The sequence below is a fragment of the Homo sapiens genome, chromosome 22 (genome assembly GCF_000001405.40).
Source record: "Homo sapiens chromosome 22, GRCh38.p14 Primary Assembly".
Lineage (NCBI taxonomy): Eukaryota > Metazoa > Chordata > Mammalia > Primates > Hominidae > Homo > Homo sapiens.
In genome coordinates, this window is record NC_000022.11 from 16,969,353 (window position 1) to 16,990,903 (window position 21,551).

At 44.6% G+C, this 21,551-nt stretch overlaps 1 protein-coding gene across 10 annotated transcripts in view; it reads right to left on the minus strand.

The window, feature by feature from the left end:
- Positions 1–21,551, minus strand: part of GAB4 (GRB2 associated binding protein family member 4) — a 46,287-nt gene that overhangs the window by 7,417 nt on the left and 17,319 nt on the right. For 5 of the 10 annotated variants that reach the window (XR_951190.3, XR_951191.3, NM_001037814.1 and 2 more), the window contains exons 3-4: positions 18,608–18,815; positions 591–841 (exon numbers count right to left, since the gene is read on the minus strand). The exons of 2 other annotated variants lie outside the window; for them this stretch is intronic. Coding sequence is in view for 5 of the 8 variants with exons in the window: in NM_001037814.1 (NP_001032903.1) it covers positions 591–841; positions 18,608–18,815 (459 nt within the window). In the remaining 3 variants the exon portion in view is untranslated. The remainder of the gene's footprint in view (positions 1–590; positions 842–18,607; positions 18,816–21,551) is intronic. 3 more of the 10 variants (NR_159481.1, XM_047441117.1, XM_011546117.2) reach the window with 3 other exon arrangements.

The following is a 21,551-nucleotide window of genomic DNA, read 5'->3' on the forward strand; positions in this document are numbered from 1 at the left end:
GTGCTGTACTGTAACTAAGAATGTTCTGTCTCCCTTAGTGGAGGCCAAGTCTGCCAGTCTTGCCACTGGGTGTCTATTAACAGCCTCCAGTGCTGGGGGACCCAGTGGTCAAGGTCCAGGCAGGAGATGAACTTGACTATCAGTGACCTGAGTGGCTCCCAAGTCTCCCTTGGCCATGGGAGACCAAGGACTAGCTAACCACTGAGAACCCGGTGCCACCTCCCCTCTCCCTCTGGGTCTCAGTGAGGGCTCATACTGACCTTGGTGACATCGGCTGTTGTCTACTGCAGGAAGGGTATTCCGCCTGGGGATGGCAGCAGCAACAGACCACCTGCTACTTTCACTGACTAAAGGTCTCTGCTGAGGGCTGCCCCACTGACATGCTTCTGCCTGACTTGCCTTGGGCAGGGGAAGGGAGGCTATGGGCCCAGGAGTGGCCACCACCATGGCATAGAGGTTCTTGTCTAACGTGACTGTCCTAGGAATCTGGTGCACTGAGAGTGGGGTGGCCGGAACACCACTATTGTTCACCAGGTGGCCCCCAAACTCCTGGAACAGGGTGCTTCTGGGTGCCTTGAAGGGGTACACACCCTCATTATCCGCCTCAGAGCCTGTGAGGCTGCCTCTGGTGTGGCCATGGGAGGCCAGGCTCCAGGGGATTCTGTGGGTGCTGCCTCTGAATTCTGCATTGTGCTGGCTGGGCTTGGAAAGGCTATGGAAGCCATGGATGTGACCGCTGACCCCATCAACACTGTATCCACTGTGCTGGGCAAGATTTTGCATGGCTGTGTTTCTCCTCATGATGAATGGGGCCTCAGAACCCTGGGAGAAGCTGGCACTCCTAAGAGAGAGAAAGAAGGGAAGGGGCAGGGGTGAGAGGAGGCCAGGACTGCCCCAGGGAGGCAGGCGGGGAAGTTCACAGCCCAATGTAGTGAGATGATATGGAGAAAACACAGGAAGAGGAATTGGGCAGACCTGAGGTTTGTCTAGTTTGGGAGTTTACTACCTTGTGGCCTTGAGTATTTTCCCTTTCTGAATTAGTTTCTCCATCTGTAAAATGGTGATTAAAAACTCACTTTGCAGGTTGCTTAGAAATCAGACTCTAGTATATCTAGAGTCTAATTCAATCAAGGCAAGACCTTATTCCTCTCCCCCAATGGCTGTGATTAGCAGGGTGGTCAGTTTCACCCCCACAAAACAGAGCAGCAAGCCAGGTACACTGGCTACTGGTTCCCTGCTGTGAGCATTGCAGAATGTGCACAACTGAATGCCCAGGCTGAGAGACGGTGGGGAGAGCTTTGAAGTGGGTGGCAGGAAGCAGCAAGCGAGTCATCTCATCTCTGAGTGTCAGTGTTCCCCTCTAAAGTAAACCAGCTCATGGGTGTCAATGGGTAAGTTATAAAGAACTATTCAGACATAAGCAACAGATCCATCTTCTACCAGGTTTTACGGTGGTTAGAGAGGCAATTCGAAGGAAAAGTTTCTCTCCCCAGAAACCTAAACATCTATAGAAAAAATGGTTTCCTGTTTGGCAACTCTATTTGGATAGAAAAAGGTTTGAAGCCAGGCACGGTGGCCCACACCTGTATTCTCAGCACTTTAGGAAGCCCAGACAGGCAGATGGCTTGAGCTCAAGAGTTCGAGACCAGCCTGGACAACATGGCAAAAACCTGTCTCTTCCAAAAAAAAAAAAAAATTAGCCGGGCATGGTGATGTAGTCCCAGTTACTTGGTTGGGAGGCTGAGGTGGGAGTATGGCTTGAGCCCAGGAGGCCGAGGCTGCAGTGAGCTGAGATCATGCTACTGTACTCCAACTTGGGCAACAGAGCCAGACCCTACCTCGGAAAAAGAAAAAGTTTTGAATTATTAAAACGTAAGTTTTGGGAGATAAGGCAAGTAGTAAAAAGAGAATCAATGAATGAGGAGGGAGCTGTGGCAGTTTCCAGCGCTGCCACCGATAAGCTCTGTGTGCCTTCCTGATCACCCCAGACACGACCCAGCGTCACAGTGATTTCCAAGGGTCCATCTTGCTCTGCAACTCTACAGCCTTCGGCTTTATGAGAGTGGTTTTGGAACTGGGTTCTACGTTCTGTGTGGGCGCTCTAGGAAATTGCAGGATGTAGTTCTGAGCAAGTATGGATCTAGGTCTTCTTCCCTATCTTTTATATTATTATTCCTCCTAGGATTTAATGTGGGGAAAAAAGTAAGACTGGATCCTTATAGCAGGAGTTCTCAGCCTCTTGATGGCCACAGGCATCTTTGAAAAGCTGAGCAAAAGCTCTTGGGGTGTCTCCCCAGAATGAGGCATGTCTCACACACATGCACATTTGCATGCGGTTTCTAGGGGTCACAGCCCTCTGAGACCAATCCATGGAACTGCCTCACTGGTATGCTCTCAGCCTGTGGGGAGCTGTTCCTTGGGGACATGGCCACAGCTGGCCCAGAAGCTTAGAAAAATGAAGGGAAGCAGGTGTGCAGGCCAGGCTACCTCCTCTGCCAACATGGGCCACCGAGCTTCACAGCCTTCCTTCCTGGGCCTCTGCATTCCTTCTCCCTTTCTATTCCTCTCCACACACAAGACCAAGCCAACAGCATGGGCCTCCATAACTGAACACGTCTCTAGAGCATGCTGTGCTTCACCAGCAGACAGGAGAGCAGGGGAAGATGCAGGATCCTCGTGTTTGTATTTGTCTTTGGTGCCTTTCACTTGGTCTTTTGGAGTTTTCAGCTCTCTGGTGGATATGCCACCTGGATTTGCTCCTGTGATGTTTGCTCACGCCCCACTTTCCATCTGGGCCAGGCACAGTGGACACAGACGCCACCTGCCCTGCAGGACAGGCGTCACAGCAGTGGAGGAGGTGTCACGAACACACACCACCACAATCAGGTGGGATGAGCACACGGCTGCAGACAGATCTGGATGAGCCCTCCCTGGTGGTGGTCAAGAGTGCCAGGAAAGCCTTATGCAAAGCCTTCCATCTGAGTGAGCCCGGAAGGATCTGCAGCAGCAGGCCAGACAAAAGTTGAGACAAGGGAAAAGCTGTTCCACTTGGAAACAGCAAGATGCAGAACACAGCCTGGCAGTTCAAGGGGCTGCAAGCTGCTCAGGTTGAGAGATGACAGTGGAGGGGCCAGGCCAGCACTGAAGGGATCAAGAGCTTCGGAAGGATGTCAAGGTGGGGATGGGGTGGGGGAAAGCACCTCAGGTGTCCTGCGGTAATCTCACGCATATTCAGAATATGCCCATCATCTTCCTCCTGAAATCTACTTCTCCTGACTGTTCTGTCTTGGGATTGGCTCCAGCCTCTCAAGCCCAAAACATTGGAGTTACCCACACTCTCACTCAATCACCAGCCAGCCTTAGTGAGCCCACCCTACTCATTTCCTCCTGATCCTTCCTCTGGACCACAAAAGGTCTCATAACACGTCTTCCTCACATCTTCCCAGGGCCTCTCCAGCTCTCTCCATCCTGCTATTACCTTCCTAACCTCCCAGCTTAAACATCTCCACCACTGTCACAGTGCTTTTAGGATGAAAAACCCCCAGCTTTATTCCATCCCATCTCTCCAGTCTTTTCTTCCTAGTTACCCTTCCCACCTAGGATCCACTCAAACCAGACGTCACTGTGTCCCCAGCGTGCTCCTCTCAGTGACACTTCTGGGCTTTGTCCTGTTGTCAGCTGTCCCTGGATGGCTTCTGAGGTCCCTCTGGCAAGCTCCTACTCCACTTATCCTTCAAATTCAGCTCAAAAGGCACATTTTTAAAAGCCTGTCTTAGATCCTCTATCTCCAAGCATAACCAATCACCTGCATAACTGTTCTTGGAGCAGCAGCAAATTGCTATCTGAGTCACACTCCATTGTTATTTATCTTCTCCACCAGACTATGATTTCCCTGAGGAAGGAAACCCTGTCTTATTCATCTTTCTTTCCTCAGCACCCAGGTTAGTGCTTGTCACATAGCAAATAATGAATAAATGTTTGCTGAAGGAACAAGCAGATGAATGAAAAAGTAAATAAAGAAAAGTGGGGTGCTGCCATCCTTTTTCCTGAGCTTGGCCCAAACACTTTGGACCAGCAGATCCAAACTCTTCCTCCTTAAACCCCACTTTCTTATGTCCCAACATCTGCCTGCCCCAGGTCCCTTACTCCAGCTCAGATACTCACCCCTGAGTACGTCCCACATGGTCTAAACCCCATCCCTGGGTGTATATGCCTCACCTTGCCCTGGAATGCTTCTCTCTGATGCATCAAAATGTTACACCAAGTCCAAAAGACTTTCTATCTACAAAAGAATTACTGGTCCCTAACTCTCCCTCTCATCTTAAGCATACCCTTCTCTGTGCCCCCATAGCACCTGGGCTCCCATCAGCACATGCACTCACTCTGTCTGGTGTGTGTTATCAGTGTGAGTCTCCCCACTCCCAGCAGACCCTGTGCTCTTCCTCCCTGTTCCCACAGCACCTGGGCTCCCATCAGAACATGGACCTTGCTCTGTCTTGTGTTGGTTTCTGGGTCTGTGTCTCTCTACTCCTAGCCAACCATGTCCTCCAAGACAGCAGAGGGCCACATCCTGTCCCATGGAATTATGCCTGGCTTATGGTAGATGACACTGATGCATTTTGAGCAGGACTATATCAGGTAAAAGGTAATCAAGGGAAGCCAACATGCCTGAAATTACCTACTAAAAGAACAGGAGCACTGTGCCAACAACACCCAGGGCTCTGGACACCCTGCTCAATCCCTGCTGCAGTGTGCTCCCCTTGGGCAAGAATCAGGAGGAGAACTCTGAGGACTCCATTACTGCCATGCACACCCATGTGAGGCCAATGTTACTATGATGTCCTGCATTGCTTTTGTTGGACGGATAATTGGGAGCAGTGGATTTGGAGAGACGCTTGTCTTCCAGGACTGCAGGCTGACAGAAGCTGCATAAAACAGGTAAGACCCTGTGTCAGGTGCATGACATGTGATGCCACTTTAAATCTTCCTAATAGGTCTGAGAAACACATGTTACCCCTGCATAGCAGATGAGGAAGGCAGAAATGGCCAAGTTGGTACAGGGAGACACTAAAGCACTAGTGTGCAGGGTGCTTCCTGGAGTCAACAAGCAGTTTGGGAGTAAACACTCACTCCAGCCAGCAGCGCAGTGCACCTGCCCTCCTGTCCTAGGCTTCTGGCTGCACAGAGGCTGGTGGCATGTGGGGCTGTCACACCACCTCCTGCATATTCTTTGGTGTCAATATCAACCCAGAGCTCTCCCCTGACTTTTAAAAATGGTTTCCTAGGTTTTGTAGCCACTTCCTTTTGCACTTGGTCACTGCATTTAAATAAATAAACACTTTAAAAACCTAAATGATGGGTGGCTGGCAAGATGGCCAAATAGGAACCGCTCTGGTCTGCAGCTCCCAGCGAGATCAACGCAGAAGGTGGGTGATTTCCGCATTTCCAACTGAGATACCTGGCTCATCTCACTGGGACTGGTTAGACAGCGGGTGCAGCCCACAGAGGGTGAGCCGAAGCAGGGTGGGGCGTCACCTCACCAGGGAAGCACAAAGTGTTGGGGAACTCCCTCCCTTAGCCAAGGGAAGCCGAGAGGGACTGTGCTGTGAGGAATGGTGCATTCTGGCCCAGATACACTTTTCCTATGGTCTTCACAACTCACGACCAGGAGATTCCCTCGGGTGCCTACACCACCAGGGCCCTGGGTTTCAAGCACAAAACTGGGCAGCTTTTTGGGCAGACTCCGAGCTAGCTGTAGGAGTTTTTTTCCATACCCTAGTGGCGCCTGGAATGCCAGAGTGACAGAACTGTTCATTCCCCTGAAAATGGGGCTGAAGCTAGGGAGCCAAGTGGTTTTTAGCTCAGGGGATCCCACCCCCATGGAGACCAGCAAGCTAAGATCCACTGGCTTGAAATTCTCGCTGCCAGCACAACAGTCTGAAGTCAACCAGGGACACTGAAGCTTGGTGGGGGTAGGGCATCCGCCATTACTGAGGCATGAATAGGCGGTTTTCCCCTCATAGTGTAAACAAACCCTCCAGGAAGTTCTAACTGGGCAAAGCCCACCACAGCTCAGCAAAGCCACTGAGGCCAGACTGCCTCTCTAGATTCTTCCTCTCTGGGCAGGACATCTCTGAAAAAAAGGCTACAGTCCGAGTCAGGGGTTTATAGATAAAACCCCATCTGCCTGGGACAGAGCACCTGGGGGAAGGGGCAGCTGTGGGCGCAGTTTCAGCAGACTTACAAAACGTTCTGCCTGTGGCTCTGAAGAAAGCAGCATATCTCCCAGCACAACGCCCGAGCCCTGCTAAGGGACAGACTGCCTCCTCAAGCAGGTCCCTGACCCCTGTCCCTCCTGACTGGAGAAACCTCCCAGCAGGCATCGACAGACACCTCATACAGGAGAGCTCCAGCTGGCATCTGGCAGGTGCTGCTCTGGGATGAAGCTTCCAGAGCAAGGAACAGGCATCCATCTTTGCTGTTCTGTAGTCTCCACTGGTGATACTCCACTGGTGATATCTGCCGGTGATACAGAGTCTGGAGTGGACCTCCAGCAAACTCCAGTAGAGCTGCAGCAGAGGGGTCTGACTGTTAGGAGGAAAACTAACAAACAGAAAGGAATAGCATCAACAACAACAAAAAAAAACATCCACACAAAAACCCTATCCGAAGATCACCAACATCAAAGATCAAAGGTAGACAAATTGACGAAGATGAGGAAAAAACAGTGCAAAAAGGCTGAAAAGCCAGAACACCTCTTCTCCTCCAGAGGATCACAACTCCTCACCAGAAAGGGAACAAAACTGCACAGAGAATGAGTTTGACCAACTGACAGAAGTAGGCTTCAGCAGATGGGTAATAACTCCTCTGAGCTAAAGGAGCATGTTCTAACCTAATGCAAGGAAGCTAAAGACCTTGATAAAAGGTTACAGGAACTGCTAACTAGAATAACCAGTTCAGAGAAGAACATAAATGACCTAATGGAGCTGAAAAACACAGCATGAGAACTTCATGAAGAATACACAAGTATCAACAGACAAGTCCATCAGGCAGAAGAAAGGATATCAGAGATTGAAGATCAACTTAATGAAATAAAGCATGAAGACGAGATTAGAGAAAAAAGAATTAAAAGAAATGAGCAAAGCCTCAAGGAAATATGGGACTATGTGAAAAGACCAAGCTACGTTTGATTGGTGTATGTGAAAATGACAGGGAAAATGGAACCAAGTTGGAAAACACTCTTCAGGATATCATGCAGGAGAACCTCCCCAACCTAGCAAGAGAAGCCAACATTCAAATTCAGGAAATACAGAGAACACCACCAAGATACTCCTTGAGAAGAGCAAACCCCAAGACACATAATTGTCAGATTCAGCAAGGGTGAAATGAAGGAAAAAATGCTAAGAGCAGCCAGAGAGAAAGGTTGGGTTATCCACAAAGGGCAGCCCATCAGACTAAGAGCAGATCTCTCTGCAGAAACCCTACAACTCAGAAGAGAGAAGGGGCCAATATTCAACATTCTTAAAGAAAAGAATTTTCAACCCAGAATTTCATATCCAGCCAAACAAAGCTTCGTAAGTGAAGGAGAAATAAATTTCTTTACAGACAAGCAAATGCTGAGAGATTTTTGTCACCACCATGCCTGCCTTACAAGATCTCCTGAAGGAAGCACTAAACATGGGAAGGAAAAACCAGTACCAGCCACTGCAAAACCATACCAAAATGTAGAGACCATCAATGCTAGGAAGAAACTGCATCAACTAGCAGTCAAAATAACCAGCTAGCATCATAATGACAGGATCAAATTCACACATAACAATATTAACCTTAAATGTAAATGGGCTAAATGCCGCAATTAAAAGACACATACTGGCAAATTGGATAAAGAGTCAAGACCCATCGGTGTGCTGTATTCAGGAGACCCATCTCACGTGCAAAGACACAGATAGGCTCAAAATAATAGGATGAAGGAAGATTTACCAAGCAAATGGAAAGCAAAAAAAAAAAAAGCAGGGGTTGCAATCCTAGTCTCTGATAAAACACACTTTAAACCAAGAAAGATCAAAAGAGACAAAGAGGGCTTTACATAATGGTAAAGGGATTAATTCAACAAGAAGAGTTAACTATCCTAAATATATATGTGCCTAATACAGGCACACCCAGATTCATAAAGCAAGTTCTTCTGGACTACAAAGAGACTTAGACTCCCACACAATAATAATGGGAGACTTTAATACCCCACTGTCAATATTAGACTGATCAATGAGACAGAAAATTAACAAGGATATTCAGGACTGGAACTCAGTTCTGGAACAAGCAGACCTAACAGACATCTACAGAACTCTCCATCCCAAATCAACAGAATATACATTCTTCTGAGCACCACATAGCACTCACTTATTCTAAAATTGACCACATAATTGGAAGTAAAACACTCCTCAGCAAATGCAAATGAAGGGAAATCATAACAAACAGTCTCTCAGACCACAGTGCAATCAAATTCGAACTCAGGATTAAGAAACTCACTCAAAAATGCACAACTACATGGAAACTGAACAACCTGTTCCTGAATTTATTTACTGGGTAAATAACGAAAATAAGGCAGAAATAAATAAGTTATTTGAAACCAATGAGAACAAAGACACAATGTACCACAATCTCTGGGACACAGCTAAAGCAATGTTCAGAGGGAAATTTACAGCACTAAAGGCCCATAAGAGAAAGCAGGGAAGATCTAAAATCAACACCCTAATATCACAATTAAAAGAACTAGCGAAGCAAGAGCAAACAAATTCAAAAGCTAGCAGAAGACAAAAAATAACCAAGATCAGAGCAGAGCTGAAGGATATAGAGACACAAAAAAACCTTCAAAAAATCGATGAATCCACGAGCTGTCTTTTGGAAAAGATTAACAAATTAGATAGACCACTAGCCAGACTAATAAAGAAGAAAAGAGAGAAGAATCAAATAGACACAATAAAAAACGATAAAGTGGATATCACCACCGACCCCACAGAAATACCAACTAGCATCAGAGGATACTATAAACACCTCTATGCAAATAAACTAGAAAATCTAGAAGAAATGGGCAAATACCTGGACACATACACCCTCCCAAGACTAAACCAGAAGGAAGTCGAATCCCTGAATAGGACAATAACAAGTTCTGAAATTGAGGCAGTAATTAATCGCCTACCAACCAAAAAGAGCCCAGGACCAGATGGATTCACAGCCGAATTCTAGCAGAGGCACAAAGAGGAGCTGATATCATTCCTTCTGAAACTATTCCAAAAAATAGAAAAAGATGGACTCCTCCCTAACTCATTTTGTGAGGCCAGCATCATCCTGACACCAAAACCTGGCAAAGACACACAAAGAAAGAAAATTTCAGGCCAATATCCCTGATGAACATCAATGCGAAAATCCTCAATAAAATACTGGCAAATTGAATCTAGCAGCACATTAAAAAGCTTATCCACCATGATCAAACTGGCTTCTTTCCTGGGATGCAAGGCTGGTTCAACATACGAAAATCAATAAATGTAATCCATCATATAAACAGAACCAATGACAAAAACCACATGATTATCTCAATAGATGCAGAAAAGGCCTTCAATAAAATTCAACACCCCTTCGTGCTAAAAAATCTCAATAAACTAGGTATTGATGGGATGTATCTCAAAATAATAAGAGCTATTTATGACAAACTGACAGCCAATATCATACTGAATGGGCAAAAGCTGGAAGCATTCCCTTTGAAAACTGGCACAAGACAAGGATGCCCTCTCACCACTCCTATTCAACATAGTATTGGAAGTTCTGGCCAGGGCAATCAGTCAAGAGAAAGAAATAAAGGGTATTCAATTTGGAAAAGAGGAAGTCAAGTTGTCTCTGTTTGCAGATGACATGATTGTATACTTAGAAAACCCCACTGTCTCAGCCCCAAATCTCCTTAAGCTGATAAACAACTTCAGTGAAGTCTCAGAATAAAAAATCCACGTGCAAAAATCACAAGTATTCCTATAAACCAGTAATAGCCAAATCCTGAGTGAACTCCCAATCACAATTGCTTCAAAGAGAATAAAATGCCTAGGAATAGAACTTACAAGGGATGAGAAGGACCTCTTCAAGGAGAACTACACACCACTGCTCAAGGAAATAAGAGAGGACACAAACAAATGGAAAAACATTCCATGCTCATGGATAGGAAGAATCAATATCGTGAAAATGGCCATACTGCCCAAAGAAATTTACAAATTCAATGCTATTCCCATCAAGCTACCATTGACTTCACAGAATTAGAAAAATCTACTTTAAATTTCATAAGGAACCAAAGAAGAGCCCATATCGCCAAGACAGTCCTAAGCAAAAAGAACAAACATGGAGGCATCATGCTACCTGACTTAAAACTATACTATGAGGCTACAGGCACCAAAACATGGGACTGGTACCAAAACAGATATACTGACCAATGGAACAGAACAGAGACCTCAGAAATCACCACACATCTACAACCATCTGACTTTTGACAAGGCTGACAAAAACAAGCAATGGGGAAAGGATTCCCTATTTAATAAATGGTGTTGGGAAAACTGGGTAGCCATATGCAGGGAACTGAAACTGGACCGCTTCCTTACACCTTATACAAAAATTAACTCAAGATGGATTACAGACTTAAACGTAAGACCTAAAACCACAAAAACCGTGGAAAAAAACCTAGGCAATACCATTAAGCACACAGGCATGGGCAAAGACTTCATGAATAAAACACCAAAAGCAATGGCAACAAAAGCCAAAATAGACAAATAGGATCTAATTAAGCTAAACAGCTTCTGCACAGCAAAAGAAACTATCATCAGAGTGAACAGGCAAACAACAGAATGGGAGAATATTTCTGCAATCTATCCATCTGACAAAGGGCTAATATCCAGAATCTACAAGGAACTTAAAACAAATTTACAAGAAAAATCCAAACAATCCCATCAAAAAGGGGCCAAAGGATAATAGACACTTCTCAAAAGAAGACATTTATGCAGCCCACAAACATGAAAAAAAGCTCATCATCACTGGTCATTACAGAAATGCAAATCAAAACCACAATGAGATACCATCTCATGCCAGTTAGAATAGTGATCATTAAAAAGTCAGGAAACAACAGATGCTAGAGAGGATGTGGAGAAATAGGAACACTTTTACACTGTTGGTGGGAGTGTAAATTAGTTCAACCATTGTGAAAGACAGTGTGGCGATTCCTCGAGGATCTAGAACCAGAAATACCATTTGACCCAGCAATCCCATTACTGGGTATATACCCAAAGGATTATAAATCATTCTACTATAAAGACAAGTACACCCGTATGTTTATTGCAGCACTATTCACAATAGCAAAGACTTGGAACCAACCTGGATGCCCCTCAATGATAGACTGGATAAAGAAAATGTGGCACATATGCACCGTGGAATACTATGCAGCCATAAAAAAGAATGAGTTCACGTCCTTTGCAGGGACATGAATGAAGCTGGAAACCATCATTGTCAGCAAACTTACCCTAGAACCGAAAACCAAACACCACATGTTCTCACTCATAAGTAGGAGGTGAACAATGAGACCACATGGACACAGGGAGGGAAACATCACACATCGGGGCCTGTCAAGGGGTGGGGAGATAGGGGAGGGATAGCATTAGGAGAAATACTTAATGTAGATGATGGGTTGATGGGTGCAGCAAACCACTATGGTGCGTGTATACCTATGTAACAAACCTGCACGTTCTGCACATGTATCCCAGAATTTAAAGTATAATAAAAATAAATAAATAAATATAAATATAAAATATAGTAAGGAGTAGAAAAAAACTAAATGATGCCCCTTAAAAAAGTTCAAAAGTAAGAAAAAACCAAACCCCAAATTAGAAGGAAATAAATATTACAGTTCATAGCAGCAATAAATAAAATTTAGAGTGAAAAAAATAAAATATCAATGAAACAAAAACTTTGCTTTTTTGAAAAGATAAACAAAATTGATAATCCTTTAGCTAGATTAACAAAAAATGAGTCAAGCCTTAAATAAAATCAGAGCCAAAAAAGGAGACATTACATCTGATAAGACAAAAATTCAAAGGACCATCAGAGACTATTATGAGCAACAATATGCCAAAAATTGGAAAACCTGGAAGATACAGATTAATTCCTACACAAATACAACCTAGCAAGGTTGAATCATGAAGAAATAGAAAACCTGAACAGACCAAGAAGTCACAAGATAGACACAGTAATAAACTCCCATCAAAGAAAAACCCAAGACCCGATGGCTTCCCCGCTGATTTCTACCAAACATATGAAGAACTAACATCAATTCTTCTCAAACTATTCCAAAATGTTGAGGAGGATGGAATACTTCTAAACTCATCCTATGAAGCACTATCCTGATACCAAAAACAGACAAAGATACAACAAAAAAAGAAAACATCCCTGATGTTTATAACAATATATTATAAAGATAATTAATCTTGATCAAGTGAGATTCATTTCAGGGATGCAAGGAGGGTTCAACATATGCAAAGAAATGAACATGATACACCACATTAATAGATTCAAAAACAAAAACCATATGATCATTTCAAAATATGACAAAAAGTTATTTGATAAAATGCTACATCCCTTGACAATAAAAACTCTCAACAAACTGGGTATCGAAGGAACATGCCTCAAAACAATAAAGGCTTTACATGCAAAACCCACAGCTAGCATCATACTGAACAGGGAAAAATGAAAAGCCTTTCCTCTAAAATCTGGAACAAGACAAGAATGCCCACTAGAAGTCCTAGCCAGAGCAATGAGAAGGGAGAAAGAAAGGGCATCCAAATTGAAAAGGAAGAAGTAAAATTGTCCTTGTTTGCAGACAATATAATCTTATATTTAGGAAAACTTAAAAATGCCAAAAGGCTGTTGGAACAGATAAATAAATTCAGAAAAGATGCAGGATACAAAATCAATATGTAAAAATCAGTAGTATTTCTATATGTCAACAACAAACAGTCTAAAAAAGAAATTAAGAAAGCAATCCCATTTACAGTAGCTACAAAAAATACTTACAAAATAATCTTGAAGAAGTAAAAGATCTCAACAATGAAACTATAAAATATTTATTAAAGAAATTAAAAAGGACATGAAAATGGAACAATATCACATGATCATGATTGCAAAAATTAATATTGTTAAAATGTCCACACCACCTAATCTGCAGAATCAATGCCTATCAAAATACATTCAGTATTCTCTACAGAAATAGAAACAAAAATTCTAAAATTTATATGAAACCACACAAGAATCAGAACAGCCAAAGCAACCCTGAGCAAAAAGAACAAAACTGGAGGAATCATATTACCTGACTTCTGTTGGGGAAAAGCTGAGTGTTGGGAAAAAAGCTGAGGCAGGGCTTGCATGTCTGACATAATGTAAAAGAGTCTCGGAACATGTCCAGGGTCCAGGGTCTAAAACCCCTCTTGGCCTTTGGAACACCAAATTCTGTGCCAAAGGGTGGAAGGCTGCCCTGCCGCACCATAATCTAAGCCCAGGGCATAAAACCCCTCGTGGCGTGGATGGAATCCAGGGCTCAGGGCATAAAACCCCTAGTGGCCTCTGGAATGTGTCTAGACTTGCTGGCTCCTTGCTTCTAGCATTCCCAGGATCACAGGTTGATTGTATCTTAAACTAGAAGAACATGTTTCCATTATCTCAAGTAGCAGAACATGTTCCATATGCTTCAAAGAAAATGCTAAACCGTCACAGGTGTAGATCATGCGCTTGATGCATCACTACCTTTCAACCCCACATCCTCACCACCTGTTTCTTTGATCACCAATAAATAGCATGGGCTCCCAGAGCTCAGAGCCTTCACAGCCTCCGTACTAGCATTGGCCCCCTGGTCCCACTTTCACTCTTAACTTGTCTTTTCTCATTCCTTTCACTCCACCAGACTTCATAGCCCTCATGGTCTGGTGTTGCATCTGATCACCCCAACACTACCTAAAGAAATCTGCAGAGTCAATGCCTATCAAAATACCATTCTGTATTTTCTACAGAAATAGAAATAAAAACTCTAAAATTTATATGAAACCACACTAGGATCAGAACAGCCAAAGCAACCCTGAGCAAAAAAGAACAAAACTGGAGGACTCATATTACCTGACTTCAAAATATACTACAAAGCTATAACCAAAACAGCATGGCACTGACTTAAAAATGGACACACAGGCCAATGGAACAGAATACAGATCTCAGAAATAAATTCATGCATTTACAGTCAACTCATTTTCAACAAAGATGCCAAGAGTATACACTGGGGAAAGAACAGTCTCTTCAATAAATGGTGCTGGGAAAAATAAATATCCATATGAATGTATGAATGAAACTAGAGCCCTATCTCTCACCCTATACAAAAATCAACTCAAAATTGATTGAACATGTAAATATAAGACCTGAAACCATGAAACATGTAGAAGAAAACATTGAGAAAACACTTCAAAACATTGGTCTAGCCATACGTTCTTGAATAGCACCTCAAATGCACAGGTAATCAAAGCAAAAACTGACAAATGGGATTATATCAAGCTAAAAAGCTTTGCTGTATAGCAAAGGAAAAAATTAATAAGGTAAAGAAACAATCTACGCAATAGGAGAAAGTATTTTCAAACTATTCATCCAATAAGAAATTAATAGAATATATAAGGAACTCTAACAACTCAATGGACAAAAAAATCAAATAATCAGATTACAAAATGGACAAAAGATCTGGATAGACATTTCTCCAAAGAAGACATCCAAATGGCCAACAGGTAAATGAAAAAATTATCAACATCACTAGTCATTACGAAAATGCAAATCAAAACCACATGAGATATCATCTCCCCCAGTTAAAATGGCTATTATCAAAAAGATAATAACAAATGCTGATAAGGGCATGGAGAAATGGGAATGCTCTATATACTCTTTGTAGGAATGTAAATTAGCACAGCCACTATGGAAAACAATATGGAGGTTCCTCAAAAAACTAAAACTAGAACTACCATATGATCCAGCAATCTCACTGCTGGGTATATAGCCAACATCTGTATTATCTTGAGGTTCACATCTGTGTCTTCCAATTAAAACTGGTTAAATTCTGCTGGTTCTCCGTAAGCTGAGAAAATGTGAATTACATCCTGAATGTTGTGCATGTTGTGTTTTGTGTAGACTGTGGGTTGCCATAATCCTTGGGAGAATGTTGATGTTTTGGTTTCTGCAGGAAATCAAGCTGGTTAGGTTGAGACTGCAAGTTCCATCTCTCCTATGTGTGGCAGTTCCAAGCTGTGCTCAGTTCATATAGCTCTGTTACACTGGTTTGGGACTTTCTACACACATGTAGCTCAAGGTGAGCATAAGACTTGGGTGGTTTCGTGCTCAGAATTAGCAGATCCCTTCTCCAGCTCACTCTGCTCTAGAATCCTTTCCAGCTCCATTGGGCTCTTTCCTGGTTCCTCTACCTAGAAAGATGGAGTTTCCAGGAAAGTTTTAACCACTGGCCCCACTGTGCTGCTTTGTGTGGGTGCACCCTGGAGGCAAATCCATGGAAGACAGAAAATTGACCTCTGTGTATTTGCTGCTCCAAGTTTTTCTCCAGTCCACACCCTGCCTCCTTTCATTTACCTCCCAGGGTCTTTGGGTAATTGTACTTTGTATGTGTCCAGAGTTTTAAGCTGTGATCTGGGAATGATATCCTGCAGTGGGTCTGCCACCACAGTGGAGCTGGAACTCCTAAGTCCTTTACCAGGGTCCCTGTATCTCTCCCGAAATCCATCATCTCTTCACCCATTACATACATTTTTTGCCCACAGATTTAAAAAGTTAACATACTTATTTTAAAGTCTTTGTAGGCTAGCTCCAAAATCTGGGTCTATTCTGGTCTGTTTCTATGTACTGAGTTCTCTAAACTGTGGGTCAACTTTTACCATTTACTCATACGGCTAGTAATTTTTCATTGGATACTGAATATCTGGGATCTGTTCTAGGAAAAGCCACGGAAATTGAATCTCAGTTCTTTCAAGAGTCAAATCTGTTCCAGAGTTTTGATTGTTCTTCAGTGCCTTCAAACAATTGTTTTCTAATGTCTCAGTTTCTAACTGTTCAGTAGGTTTAGTATGATGCAAGCTATGCCACTACCATCAGAAACAATATCATCTTTCAGGACTTAAGAAAGCTTCCTTCCTATTCTCCATCTCCCCTTGGAATTTGGCAAACAGTGTCTAACTTTTCTGTAGAAACTACACTGAGATATTGCTAATTGTCCTCTCACTCCCTCATCCACACAAGCGAAAACAAAGAGGACAGCACAGCTTGGCCAAGGGCCCATGGCAGTGCTGTTCCTAAGCTTTAGACAGTTCTTTCTCCTCAAATGTGCCATCTCACTACAGCACACGACCATCAAACGCTGATCATGTACTGATAAAGACATACTATATGCCCTGCCTTGTGTCCTCAGAGCATCTTAACACAGAAATCCATAACACGACCTCCATAACATCCAGAACATCTTAACACAGAAATCCATTAACATGAGGCAGACAGCCCCAAATGCTGGGAGAGAGAACATAAAAAACTGCTGTGGTGATTCAAAGAAACCAACTCCTGCTGGTAAGACTAACAGGAATTTCACAGAGGAGGAAGGAATACAGAAAGTGGACCCTCACTGCTCATGCAGGCAGACATTTACCTGTCTGTCTCCTTTTGCTTCAGCTGTGTCATGGGAGTACAGGTGGTGGTGGCTGTTAGTATACCAAGCCTTCTACATAAAGTGTGTCCTGCAGATGAGCTGCACTGGTATCCTCAGTCTGTGTCAGCAAGGCAGGACTGTAGGACCCACCCTAGGTTCGCTGATGAAAACAAGCATCTCAGCAAGCTCCCCAGGTGTTCCACGTGCATGTGAAAGTATGAAGGGCACCAACACGAAGCACTGTGTCTTTTACAAGAACAACGACTGGAAGACCTCAGTTCTCTCTGTCCAGGCATTCATACATGCAATAGAGGGAAAGGGGCACAGGGAGAACCACAGGTAACAGGGACTGAGCATCTGCCACTGTGCACTTCATGTGTGTTCTGCCACCTTACACCCATCAGCCTTTGAGTTAGTCGTTTCCATTCTGAAGATAAGGAAGTTGAAGGTCAAAGAGGTTAAATAAGTGGCCTAAGATTCCCAGAAAAGTGGCAGAACCTCAATTTGAAACCATATCTGGCCGATGCCAAGCCTGTGCCATGCTTTCCATTGCACTGTACTGCCTATCCCTGGTCTGGGACTCAGGAGAGGCAGGTACTGGTGTGGTTCTGCCACTAACTAGTTTAGTGATCTTGGTTAATTTGTTCTGTCTTTCTAGAACACAGATCTTCATGTATCAGTTGATGAAGGCGGAACTGCTGAAAGTTCACAAACGAAGGAATCGCATTGCTTCAGGAAAATGGGTGATGGAACTAGCCTTCAGATTGAGTGCTGGAGCCCCTGCCATGTTACAGAAAAAGGATTAGTAAACCAGGGGTGCAGCAAAGTGTGGGGCAAAGAGTTCAGGACAGATGTGAGGACACCTGGGTTCTAGTCCCGCCTCTACCATTTGATAGCTGTGAGCCTCAGGTGCTTCACCTATAAAATGGAGATAAATGATCTTCCTAGCTATCTCTCATATGTTTGACTGGTTCAAGTGAGATTATGTATGAAAATATTCTCACAGATGTCATGAAGTCATCTATTAACACAGCCATTTATCTGTCTGCCTTCATTTTCACAGCATGATTTAGGTATTTCTAAACTAACAAACCAAGGAATGTGACTGTGATCTGTGTGCCACAGTAGCAACTGAGCACCAGCTCTGGCCAAGCCCATCCCCTCTGCACATTTGCGTGACCTTACACTGGGAATAACAGGTGATAAAACTGGTGCAGGCCCTGCCCCTGTGTGAGAGCCAGTGGTGTCAGAGAAGCAGAGGTCATGGTTCCAGAGCAAGAAGTCCCTTGTGAAACCATCTGTGGTGATGGACATGCTACCTATCTTTGCTAGTCACTTTGGTGGCTACTGAGCATTTGACTTGTGGCTACTATAACTGAGAAACTGAACTCGAAATTTAATTTAATTTTAATTAGCTTAAATTTAAATAGCCATGACTGCAGCTACTGTGGAGCAGCACAGCTTAGAATTCAACTGAGCTATGGATCTGGTCATCAATCTTAAGGTTTCATAGCTGTCCTCTTAAGGCCAACACATAAACCGACTTTGTTATTTGCAGTTCTGAAACTCTAGCCTCTAATGCTTTTTTCCCCACAATCAAACAAAATTTTCATGGCATGGTTTTTTTATAATGGTAGGTTTCTTAGGAATCCAATTATCACTTTGTAGCAACACAAATAAAACAAATAAAATGTGAAGGCTACATAAACAAAAAATTAAATGTTGTTATATATGTTTGCTTACCTGGAAAGATATAATATTTTATGTCTTTCTCTTTGAAATTTAAAAAAATCAGGGACTGAATAGAACAAGACCTTGTGGGGGTCACTGCCCCCACTGGCCATAGTAGCCCCCTACCTTGCATGTTCTGCTCTCTGGCTGGCGTGCTGGTGCGAGCGGAGACACCCCGGAGGTGCAGGGATGGGCCAGGTGGGCGGCACACAGTGAGACACCGGGGGCTCAGATGTGGGTTCTTGTTCTTGGGGGAGGTGCTGATGGGAGCAGCTGGGCTCAGCTGGAGAAGAGCAGAGGCCGTGACTGGCTGAGGAAATGTTTCCCAGGAAGCCTGTGAATGAAACAGGAAGGAAGGGCATCCTTGTCCTAAAGTGGGCTGCTAGAGGCAGAAACACATGAAGACAGTGGCGGTAATCCAGCACCAGCACTCTTCCTCTCACATGCCTGCCTCCTCTGTCCTCCCAGAGGAGGGCTGGGGCCTCCTGGCTATCCTGGCTGAGGAGCAGACGCTCTGCCTCTTTCCTACCCTGGAGCAGCCTGGAGGCCTCATAGTGCCCTGGGCCCTGACTGCTCCACTCCCAGACGGCGTGGTTCCCCACAGTCCAGGAGTGTGGTCCGGGCCCCCAGGCAAGACAGCCTCTGCAGTGGTGAGTGCTGCCACCTCCCTCCTCCATGGTGGCTCCTCTGTCATGGCCTCCCTCAAAGCTAAGGCTGTCTGGGTGAAGCGAGGCTTGCCAACTGAAGCCGCATTCTTGGAAACCCAGCTTTCCTGCCTGTCCTTCCATGGCATCTCAGACTCTCCTGTGGTGTTGGCAAGGAAGAGAGGTATCATGGACAGGTAGTACTTTGCTGCACCCCAAGCCCAGCACACTGTTCATCTGGCTTGCTCTCCAGGACCTGTCCACACTACTCAGCAGAACCTACGAGGCCTTTCACAGTCTGACCTGTTTCCTGCTTTCCTATACCCACGACCAAGGTATATGGCAGCATCAGCCATCCTGCACACACCGGCCTCTTTCAGGCTTCTTTGCTTTGGCTTATGCTGTTCCTTCTGCCTGGATTTCACTTCTACTCAAATTCACATGCAGACTTTAAGACCTGCTCAAATATCATATTCTCTCTGAAACTTCAGGGACCGACTTTCTTCTGGGTGTCACAGCACTTGGCCCATGTTCCCGTTACATGCGTGATCCCATCATAGGCACTTCCTTGCCCAGTCCACGGGTTTTTGAGAACCGCTACTGATGTTGTTACCTCCACAGCCCAAGCATTTACCCAACAGAAGCCAGGTACATAGATAGTTTTTAGTTTGTGTTTGCAGAATAAATAAAAACATACTTTCAGCAATCAAAAACCCCAACAGCAAAACTTCTTGTTCAAAAGAAATGAAGGTCTACAGGTGTAATTTCAAATGATGTGATCGCTAAGTGGGGTTATGTTTGGGTGGTGTTGATGGTGGCTTTCTAAGGGTTCTTCAAGTCATATCAGAGGGGGCAGAGTTCTCTTTCTGCCCCCTGATATCTGGCCTATTTCTGGCTGTGCCACCTCATGGCCTGAGGCAGGAACCCCAGCTGGCTAATGCCCCTGAGTGTCTGCTCCTCTCCAGCTGTTTCTGATGCTAGGCAAGACACGTTCTGCCAGTGAGCAACAGAAACATATGGCAGGGCTCTGGGAAAGATGGCTCCACTTACAGCTATGTGCACTCCAAGATGAGCTCCCATGCAGGTCTCCTGGTGAGTGGGATGTCTGCTAACAGAATCAATGGCCTTGTAGCTCCAAAAGACCTGCAAGATGAATGCTCTACCAGTGGAGGAGCAAGGGTCTATGCTAGGGGGCCAAGCAGCCACGGCACCAAGGATGAACACAGCTGCTGCCCAGGGAGGGTGCAGCCTGGGAAGCTCTGCTGAGCCTCTGCTCCTGCCATCTTGTTGGATCTGTTTCCTCTGCCTTCAATGGAGCTATTCTTCAGGGTTCTGCTCTAGACCCTCCTCAGCCTCACCCTGACTCCGGATACCGCAGGGTGATCCTGTCCTCCCACAGCCCCCAGGACCACCTAAGTGATGGCAACTCTAAAATCTGAACCTGCAGCTCAGGCCTTTCTGGGGCTCCCTGCCGCAAGGCAGACACCCCACAAGCAGGTGTCCCCGATGCTCCAAGTGAGCCCCTCGTATGCCTGTGTTCCCTCTCGGTGAGGCACATCAGCATGACTGTCCACTGCACTCTCTAAGCCAGAGCCCAGGCATCACTGTGACTCTTCACTCTTTCTCACCAACCATGTCCTGTCCTTATGGCATTGCTCACAGAAAGCTCTTCCACAGTGCGCTGCATCCTTAAGATGACTCACAAAGCACTCTCTCTCTTTCTAAAACCATATTTCTGTTTATTTCTTCAACCAGTTTCTTGCCAGTAATTCCTCGTGTTTCAAATGGAATTCTAGTAAAATACCAACCTCTTTCTCATCACCCCATACATTCAGCTCAAAACTCAGTGAGGGCAGAGATTTCATCTCTTTTTGAAATGGTTTTGTTCTCAGAATCAAGCCCAGTGTGTAACACAGTAAGTATGTGTTGATCAAACAAAGGATGTAGTATAGTAAGGAACTACTCCCCTGGTGACAGTCACTGCTCCTCATTGCCCTCCCAATAAAGTCCAGGCTCCTCAGTCTGGTAGGAAAGGCCACTTTTCCACAACCCACTAACCCTGTCCTGTCACCCCATGCATCCTTCATGCCCCCAGTTGTATGTGTGGGCTGTGAGGATGAAAGAGTGACTCACCCTCACCTCCACAGCCCCTGTCTAGCACTCGGGCAGTAGAGTCCTATCCATGACCCAGAGTCCATTTATATGCAGACCTGGGGGTCTATCAGCACCAAGCCATGGCTATAAAACTGGTCAGCTCTCTCCAATGGGCTATAGCTCCAGAAACATCCTTTCAAAGCAGTTCTGGCAATAAACATTGCCTGGAGAGTTCTTAAAACCAGACTGCTGTGTTTTGTCCCAGAGTTTCTGATTCAGTAAGTCTGGAGTGGGGTGCAGACTGACTTACAAGAATGAATTACTTACTGACA